Raw genomic sequence first — 10,102 nt, forward strand, 5'->3', positions numbered from 1 at the left:
TCCAGGGTGAAAAAAAAAACCATGAATATTACAGTTCTTCTATCAATAGCCTAACTTGTTATCTCTAGGAAGATAGATAAATAAAAACACAGTTAAAGATGATGAGGATAAAATAGAGACCAATAGATAGTAATACAGCATTCTAGAGGAGAGGCTAAGATTCTACCTGGGCAAGCATAAATGAAGGCTTCTCAGAGGAGTTTACATTCTGTGTGGTTATGGCAGAATAAACAGAATACGGCTGATAGAAAAGTTAGAGAAAAGGAATCTAAGTAGAGGATACTTTTAAAAAGGCAGTGGTGTACAAAGAATGATATATTCTTTAAAAAACTTGTTGTTTCAATCACAACATAGGTGGGAACTATTGTATAAAATGCAGAGCTGAAAATAAGTCCTCCTTGTCCTTTTGGAGCTCAAAGTCTAGAAGTTGAAGGAAAAAAAGTACAAATAAGTATATGTTATAAAGTGTTTATTGTATTAGAATCCTATGCCACATCTATAATCTGATTTCAAAATATCAGAAAATTATTACTTTTAAATGTAAGAAAATGATCACATAAATATCCATCAAATTAGTGTGGGAAAAGAGCAAGAGGGAATAATGATCTACTTAAATATTTAAAATATAATCTTTAACACCTTTATAATTTAAACAGTTGGGAACTGGTGAATGAATGGACAATTGTAGGCCTATGAATAAAAATAAATGAAGTAATTGAAATGTGGTACTTCAAATCAGTGGGGAAAAGTGTGTTTTAATGACAGATGCTTAGAAAAAAATAATAAATCTGAACCCTTACTTTGAGGGACCAGTGAGACTCCTCCCCCTTCCTTCTGAATTTCTCTAAGCACTTCTTGCCTCTCAACACCTCCTTACAGTCATTAATAGATTTGACAGGAAGAACTGGGTTGAGCTCCACCTATTACTCTTTTCTTTCTCCTTGGAATTGGCTTGCCTGCAGAAAGCATGCAATTGATCTACTCTCAAATATGCAGTAAACTGGTAGTAACTGCCTTCTCCCTCCAGTAGGCACCTATATTGTCTTGTGCTTCCTGTGACTGGGTGGGTGAGGCTACCTGAAAGATCAACGAGGTCTGGTATTTAGCTTAAGGAAAGAAAAAAAAATAGACTTCTAGTGTTGTTAGAGTGAATGCTTTCAAGCTTTGCTGAGGCTTGACAAAGTACAGAGCGTGTGGGTTTGTGACTCTAGCAGGTGTTGCTGGTGTATATCATGCTGTATTTTTCCAGGTATACCGATGGCTGCAGCCTGAGCCAGTGACTTTAAGCCTTGGACATCAAGCAGGCAAACCAGGCAAGATTTTGACCTTGCTGCATTACTGCAGGTATGGCAGGTTTGCCCAGAGGTGAGTGGCTGCTTTTATATAGGAAGGATTGTGGGCAAGTGGCCTTAACTAAAAAGCATGCAGGGCTCACAGACCCTAAGCTGCTGCAGCTTATCCTCTTGTCCCCAAAGGGGCAGTCTGCTCTGCCTATTGCTGGAGAGGCTGACATAGAATTCAATTTATTTTCATGCACTGGGAGGCAGCATCATAGTTCCTACTTTTAATTGCAAAGAAGCTGGTGTCCCTGTGAACTAGTGAATTTCTGATTTGAAATTGTTGGTGTTAGCCCTAAAGAGTGTTAGAAAACTGCTCCAAATCCCATCCTACACCCATAGTCCCATGGAGGGACAAATCTCGGATTCATGTGGCTGGTTCAGACGCTCCAGTATGATGCCCCTAGCATGTGGTCTCCAACTGGTCTGGATTAGTTAATAACGCAAGCTCTGACCATGGCTTTAGGGTTACCAAATCCAATGTGTATGGAATCTTGCGGGCACATGGCAGAGGTATTGATTCTTTTCAGGCCCTCAGGGACACAGCTTCAGAAGCATCCATAGCAGCAACAATTGGCTGGCACAATGGCTCACATCCGTAATCCCAGCAGTTAGGGAGGCTAAGGCCAGTGGGTTGCTTGAGCCCAGGAGTTTGATACCAGCGTGGGCAACATAGTGAAACCCTGTCTCTACAAAAAAAAAAGAAAGAAATTAAAAATATTAGCCAGGTGTCGTGGCATGTGCCTACTCGGGAAGCTGAGGTTAAAGGATTGCTCGAGCGCAGGAGTTTGAGGCTGCAGTGATCTATGACTGCAGCACAAACAAACGAACAAATAAATAAATTTTTAAAAATAGCGTTAACAACTTAAGAATCTGAGGAAAGGATTTCTCCATTTAAACAAATGTAGGGATGAAGAGAAAACCTTCCTAGGAGATAGATTTCGGGAGATAGGTCCAAACAGGTGCATGCAAAAAGCAGTGACAATAGCCATGATGGCAAAAGTCTGCCAAAGCCTGCTCTTGAGGGTGTGTGGATAGATCCTACACCCACATTCAATTCAGTGTGAGGATACCAGAAACTCAGTGTTCAAAAGCAAAATGGAAATTAAGAGATTTTACACAGAGAAATATATTTTATTTCCCTAGAGATGAGAATTCCGTAATGTCAAAATTAACCTCTCGTAGAGGGATTTCTCTCCAGTAAGTTTTATTCCACCGGCCATTGATTCTGGCAAACTGCATAGAATCAGCCTAAAATCAAGATTTGTTTTTATCTATCCCCTTCACCTATATGCCACTGTGCTCCTGCTGCTGTTGTGGCCAACATTAAGTACAAGCAGGTGTCTAGGATCACAGTGCTGCCTGAGCTAATTCGTTAGGGGCTAGAGAGTCACTCATTTAAAATCTTGGAAAGGGGAGAACAGCTATAAAATCTTTCATGTCCTTCTTAAATCTTTCAGCTTCCTTAGCATAATGTCAGTGACTAAATAGTTAATTCTGAGACTCTGGAATAATCCCTCATTCCATTAAAATAATCCCCCATTCTCTTAAGAGACAGTCTAGAATGCAGCAGTTGAAGAAACCCCAAATCCACCCAACATGAATTTTCTAGCTGAGAGGGGGCAGAATTAAATGTTTCAGAGGACAGATGGAAGACCTTTATTTCCTTGAACATTTTATTCATAAGACAAGATAATTTGATATCAGATTTGAATTCATTTTAGACTTTAATTTTGGATTTATAAAGACAGTTAATCTTTAGAATTAATTTCTCCCAGGAAATGTGGTAATATGACAAAGTTTACAGTAAAAATTTTTAGCATCTCAAGAATGTTTTCACTGATTATTAGAAGATCTTAATTTCATTGTTATGCTAACCACATGGGTAGTCATATTTTAGAAGAGAACATAAATCAAAAATAAACATTTGGCTTTGAATTTAACATTACCTTGGATTCAATTTAATTAATTACAATAGTGAGTCACTTCAGAGTCTTCCTGAGTAAAATGTGTACTGTCTACCAGGAGGATCTAGAGAGGTGCAGTGGTTGGAATAGAAGGAGGGGCTTATGAAGGTAGAAGCCGAACTGCCTGACAGGCTGCGGACCTCTGTCTTTGAGGAACTGATGGCAGAGGCCAGAAAGCCTGCTTTTGCCATCACCTGGCTGCAGTGGGGAGGCGCTGCCCAGGCTGCACGCTTCATGGAGCCAGCGGGAGCCCCGCCCCATCCAAGTTGGAGTGGGAACTTCCTGGGTGCCGTCACCCAAACTGTGGCTGCAGACCCAGGTCTCCTGCTCCAGGGACCAGGCTGGAGCCCTGCCCTCCTCGGAAGGGCTGCAGCTGCCCAAATTGCAGTTGTGGATCCAGCCTCTCTGTGCTCTTGGGGGCCTGGGGGAACCTGTGCTCTCGCAGGTTCAGAAGTGCCTGCTCCCGCTGCCTGGCTTATCCCTGCTGTTGGCACCTGCTGGATCTTAGGGCATTGTCCTGCTGCGCGTTGGGGGTGATGAACAGCAGCAGGAGGCAGACAGATTTCCGGACAGAAGGGGCGGGTCCCTCATGAGGCTCCACCTTCAGGCCAGGGAGGGCCTGAGGCTAGGATCAGGCTGCCAGTCCCATGGACCAAAGTGGGAACTTGTGGTGCCTTTTCCAGGTCCCCCCATGGCTACTCATGGAGCAATTGGCATCCACTTCCTCCTCTCTGAGGCCCACAAAAGACCCGTGCTCAGCCAGAAGCAGATAATTGGGTGACCAGCTGCAGAGAGGAACTCTCTGCTGAGAACTTCAGAGACCTGCAGAGATGATGGGACTACCAGTTCCAGAGAGGAGCTACCGTCTCCAGGGCTTCTCTACTGAGAACTGGACACTCGTTGGGGTGATCTGCCCGCGGAGAGGAGCCTTCTCCTGCTCACTCACTCCAGGGCCTCCACTCCTCCTCCTCCACTCACTCCAGGGCTTCCTCTCTGCTGAGACCTGAACGCTCAACAGGACAGCCTGCCTACAGAGAGAAGCTACCCATTGTGTGTCTCTTCTGAGCTGTTTCTAACACTCAGCAAAGCTCCTCTTCACCTTGCTCACCCTGCATTTGTCTGCATATCTCATTCTTCCTGGACACAGGACCAGAACTCAGGCAAAGGTGCCACCGGCCACAGAGGTTTCCGGCCAGAAAAGTGACACCCCGAGGATCCCATAACAGAACTTGCTCATGCTCCTGCTTGACCTATGCTTAATTGTTAAGTCCAATGTATTAAAAGCACAAAGTGTTTATGTTTGTGAAGAGGGTACACTTCATCTCTAATTTTCTAGTTTCCAGGAGGAGGGATTGTCCTTAAACATTAATAACCTCTTGATTCCCTTCCTTGATTCCTCCCACCAAGATAGACTGAGTTATCTGCTGTTTTTGGTTTTTGTTTTCTTACTTAGGTAAACTTAAATTTTCCCAAATCTTAAACCAAGAGCATTTGTTCTTTTACCCTTACCTGCCCTCCACTAAGATAAGTGATTTGGGTGCTAGTGTCTGCTCTGAAGACCCAAAACTTCCCTCCAACTCTAAAGACTACCCTGCTAATACTACTCTAAAAGTTAGGCTGGGGAGAAGTCAGAGGCTCATTTAGGGCTTAGTAGTGACTAATTATAATATTAATAATTTGCTATTGTCATAATAATGCCACCTAACAAACACTCCAAAATCAGTAGCATACAACAATAGGCATTTAGTCACTTGCTTGCAGGTCTGCAGATAGGCTAGTGAAGATATTCCATTCCATGTGTCTCATTTTGCACCCAGACAGGAGGTACAGCAAAATCCTGAAGTATATTTTCTCATAAGGAAAATCGGAAACTCCCAGATAGGGTAGTGAGAATAGTTGTTCATAAGGGTTAGGTTTGGCACACTCTCACTCTCATCTACTGGGCAGAAGTCCACAGGCCAGGGCAATATCTGGGCTTAAGGTAGTATCTGCTTCCATGGAGGTATTAGGTGTGGGTAGGGAATAAATATTTCTCAAACAATAGCATATCCCACCTGGAAATATTAAGATATAAGTCACTATTTCTGATGCAATTAATATGAAAAATAATAATTTGTTGCAAAGCTTGCTTGCTTTTATATTTTCCTAAGCTGTGCACAATAAAAAGATCTTCTTTCTTCTTTTATACATGCCTTAGTTTAAGAAAGCTTAATTTGATTGAAATATGCCAGAAAGAACTAAGATAGTATATATATAACACAATTGGGTGTAGAAGTCATAGCATTACATTTTTATCCTCTGAAATTCTCATAATTCTGCCCTCACTTTCTAGAGATCATTTGTTAATTTATGAAAAGGTAATAATATAAGAAATCAATCACAAATTTATGCTGAATATTTTGCTCCTTCAAAAAGCTTATATATTTGTTACCGATTTGACTCTTACATCAATCCTATAAGTATAGATACAGATATAAATATAGATAGAGAGACTGGAAATTTATATGTTTAAAAATAAAGGAAATCCAAGAAGTTCTGAAAATTTAAATGACCAAAGTCATTCCACTAGGCTTAAACTTAAAGCTTTTGGCTCTAATCCTACACTTTTCTTCTACTCAGCAATCTTTAAGACAACTCAATAGATCCAATAATAACAGGCACAAATTGTATACACATGAAGACTACTTACCGTAATATTGTAAAATTGTAAAAATTACTTTATTATTCATATAACTTTTCAAAGAAATAAAAATATATTCTATATTTCCAGTTGTGTTTTTCATTGAATTTTGCATGTATCATTTTTAGAAAATGTTTTGTGAAGTACTTTTGCTCTGAAAAATATAGAAATTGAACTTTGCATCCCTCTATTGAATCCTTTACTCATCTGTATCTTTACCTTGATTCCTCTTTCTATATCTCTACTCCTCCCCCTACCCATATGTATACCAGTGTAGTCTATGGTTTTATTTGCTAAGAAGATTGTGGAGTACCTGGAGTGGTAACTGTCTATTCAAAATATTAATGGATTAAAAGTGGGGACTTCGCAGTTCTAAATTTCTTTTAAAAAGAGACTGTAGAGAAATGAGAGCAGTTTGGCAACAAGTCAGAAAACCCAGGTAGTAAGTGAATCATTTCAGTAAAAATCAGTAAATGGCAATTTTTTTGAAGTGTGGTTTCCTGTAACATAGAAGTCTTGGTGGCAAATATTGTAAGGTGAAGTGGCAGGATGAATGCAAACGAGTGGTGAGTGGCTATGGAAAACAACACTTCTGAAATCATCACCATCTGCTTTTGAAATGAGGGACAAATAAGGTGATTCTTTGTTTTGAAAAACAGAATTGTAAGCAGTTTTTTAAAGACTCTGCCCCAACTAATATTCCCCACTGCAGCTTCCCCTGAACCTGGGACTTCTGAAGATCACGGATTTGAGAATGTTTGACATTTAAGCCATTCTTGGACCAAAGCTTTTGTACTAAATCAGTTCTATGTTGAGGATAGAAAAAGTGAAACAAAAGCAAAAAACTAGGAATCCTCTTATTGTTCACCTTCACAAAATAAGTATTTAAGCCAAGAAATGGGATAAATCTTTTTTAAAGGTTGTCATATTTTAAAATTTGAATAACTACATTAATAAGCCTCAGCACAATAGCTTATGACTACCACCACAACAACCCATTAAAACCAAGCAGTGCAAGTTGTAATATGCTGTCTTTTAAATTGAGTGGGTTATACCGTATTTTTTAAAACTGATTATGTTTTTATGTAATTTATAATAAAATGTTCTTTAATCCAGTTTTAATACAATTTTCTAAAGTACAACAGCCCTCCCTAACCATGGTGCTTTTCATTACAGATGCATGCCTAAAAGGAATCTGCCCCAAGAGAAATTATGTCTCTTATCTACCTCCTTCTAATAAAGAAAACCCTGCACTTACGAAGTAAAAAGTAAATTTCAAAATACCACTAGGTGATTTCTGACATCTCAGCCATTTTCACACCGTAAACGCTGTGCATCCTTATCAATAGGACAGATCAGAGCCTGGAAAATAATGCAAACTAGATTGCAGGAGTCAGATTTATGGAAATTGCATTGTGGGTCAATCATCTCTTCCTGCATCTAGCAAGAAATAGAAGGAAATACTCAGAGCTAAACTGGATTTCCTGGAATGGAATGGAAAAAAAGGAAAAATGTAATAACAAATATGTGTATTACAGTTTACAGAAATAATCTGTACAACAGCATTGTATTTCACCTGGATGGTTGCAATAACTTTCCAACTGGTCCCTCCACTTGTACTAATGACCCCATGCTGTCTATTCTCCATAGAACAACCTTAGTGGTTTCTTTAAAATATGTCATTTTATGTCACTTCTCTGCTCAAAACCCTTCAATGATTTCCCATGTCTCTCATGATAATATCCAAAATCCTCACCACAACCTATAAACTGTACTTGGTCTGTCCTCCCAGCCCCAGATCAACTTCTTTTCTGATGCCATTTTCATCCTTTGGTCACTCTGCTTCAGATATCCTGGCTTCTTAGATTATACAAAGTAATCTCCCATTTCAGAGTGTTTGTATTTGCTATTCCTTTTGCTTGAACTATTCTTACCTTAGAAAACTGCACGACTTGGTGCATCACTTCATTCGAGTCTTTGCTCAAATGCTAACCTTTTAGGGGCCCTCTCCAACTACTATTTGTAAAAGGACATACACGACTCCACTGGCCTTCAGAACCAAACCACCATTACTCTTTTTCATTTTATTGTCCTTATCACCAAGTAGCATGGTTTACATTTTCTATTATCCCTATTTCCCTCCTGGATGTAAACTCTACAATGGCAGCCTAGTTAATAAAAATCAGCAACAGTCACAAGATCTCTTTGTACATAAGAAAAGTGAAGTTTATAAGCATAAATAGCTTACCAATATCACAATTACATAGCACAATCATAATGGAACCCTGGTTTTCAGACTTCAGGCCCTACTCACTTTTCTTTTCTTTAACCTCCAGTTATTGTTCTTGAAAAGGAAAAGCATTAATAAAATGGTGGGACATAGAAAATGTGATTTGGTGATGCTGTAGGAAAGTTCTTTACATCACTACCTCATCTGTGTGATTGAATTTCATTCACAGTCTCCTTTTACCTGGAGTTGAGTTTCCTCTTTTTGTCATCTATTTGAACCCCTTTCAATGCTTCCCCTTTTGTAAAAACTTCTGCAACCTTCCTGTTTATTGCAATCGATTGACTATTATTTTTAGCAGCAGAGCCCTTTCTTTAAGCTAAGCCTGAAGCAGAAAACAAAAAGCAAAACAAACAAAAATGGAACTTCTCTGCAGAAGCAGGTTTGCAGGATTTGTTGTGCATCATCGGATCTTTACCATGACTTAGGTACCACCCAGACTTAGAGCAGGGAGAAAAGAAATAATCCAGGTCTTTCTCTTGAGTTAAAGAGATGTATTAGTCCATTCTCAGACTGCTGTAAAGAAATACCTGAGATTGGGTAATTTATAAAGAAAAGGGGTTTAATTGGCTCATGGTTCCACAGGCAGCACAGGAAGTATAGCGAAGGAGGCCTGGGGAAACTCACAATCATGGTAGAAGGCGAAGGGGAACCAGGCACGTCTTACACGGCCAGAGCGAAAGGAAGAGAGGGTGGGGGGGATGGTGCTAAACACTTTTAAACAACCAGATCTCATGAGAACTAACTCACTCACTCACTATTACAAGAACAGCAAAGGGGAAATCCACCCTCATGATCCAATCACCTCCCACCAGGCCCCTCTTTCAACATTAGGGATTACAATTTGACATGAGATTTGGGCAGGGACACAAATCTAAATCATATCAAGGAACAAGATATTCTCTAAGTTTGCAGGTTATCCAGCCTGGCTCATCTGGGTAGGTAATCAGGTTGTGCAGAAGAAATTAACATTTTCCACAGGAGTTCAGAGAGATATGAATATGATCAGTATTTCTATTAGGAGTCATATTTTTCAATCCAGAAATGTAATATCTGAAAGTTTGCACTAGTATTCTGTTTTTATTTTCCTATTTCTAAAATATACAGCTATAATACAGAGACTGCATAGCCAAAAGATGTAGAATTTCATTGCAATTCTGTATTTGTGATCAAGATTGCTAGCTGTGTAAAGCAGCTTTAATGGTATTTTATCTTGTTTTTCCCTATCTGACCTTTTAAGCTACTTAATTGTGAAACGTGGTTTGTCTGACCCTTGTAACATCACATCCTTTAAACCAATATATTTCCCAATTGCACATGAAACAAACACAAATAGTAATAGATAACCTCTTGAGCTATTTATCCTATAGACATTATTTCTGCTTTACTGGAAAATACAACTGTACTGAATGGAATATCCCCAGAATCCATGCATGTCTGTTTTCTTCCTCTAACACTCACCATAAATAACCAGTCTTTTGGTAGATACCTGGTCCAAACCAGGCAAATTAAATTTTCCCTAGGAATTTGAAATCTAAAAAGGAGAGACACTGGGCCTGCATCCTTGGATTTAAGTGATAAGATTGCTCAACTCTCTCTAAATTACTGAAGATGTCCAGTGTCTTGTCAATAAATTTTCTCTATCTCCTCCACATCCTCCCGTTTGTTTGCAAAAGTAATGGAGTAGTTGTTGGGAACTAAAATAAATTTCATCTATCTATCTATCTGTCTATCTATCATCTATCTATCTATCTATATATCTATCTATCTATCTATCATCTATCTTTATCCAATAAAGATATAGTCCAGTCTTCATACTTTGAAATGCTTT

General features: G+C 39.3%; 1 long non-coding RNA gene across 1 annotated transcript in view; it reads left to right on the top strand.

Annotated features, from left to right (window-relative positions):
• Positions 1–6,066, top strand: part of PLPPR5-AS1 (PLPPR5 antisense RNA 1) — a 144,577-nt gene extending 138,511 nt beyond the window's left edge. Inside the window, exons 2-3 of the long non-coding RNA NR_033940.1 lie at positions 1,250–1,344; positions 3,988–6,066. This is a non-coding gene — a long non-coding RNA (PLPPR5 antisense RNA 1). The remainder of the gene's footprint in view (positions 1–1,249; positions 1,345–3,987) is intronic.
• Positions 6,067–10,102: the final 4,036 nt, after the last annotated feature.

Source organism: Homo sapiens, chromosome 1 (assembly GCF_000001405.40).
Source record: "Homo sapiens chromosome 1, GRCh38.p14 Primary Assembly".
Classification (NCBI taxonomy): domain Eukaryota; kingdom Metazoa; phylum Chordata; class Mammalia; order Primates; family Hominidae; genus Homo; species Homo sapiens.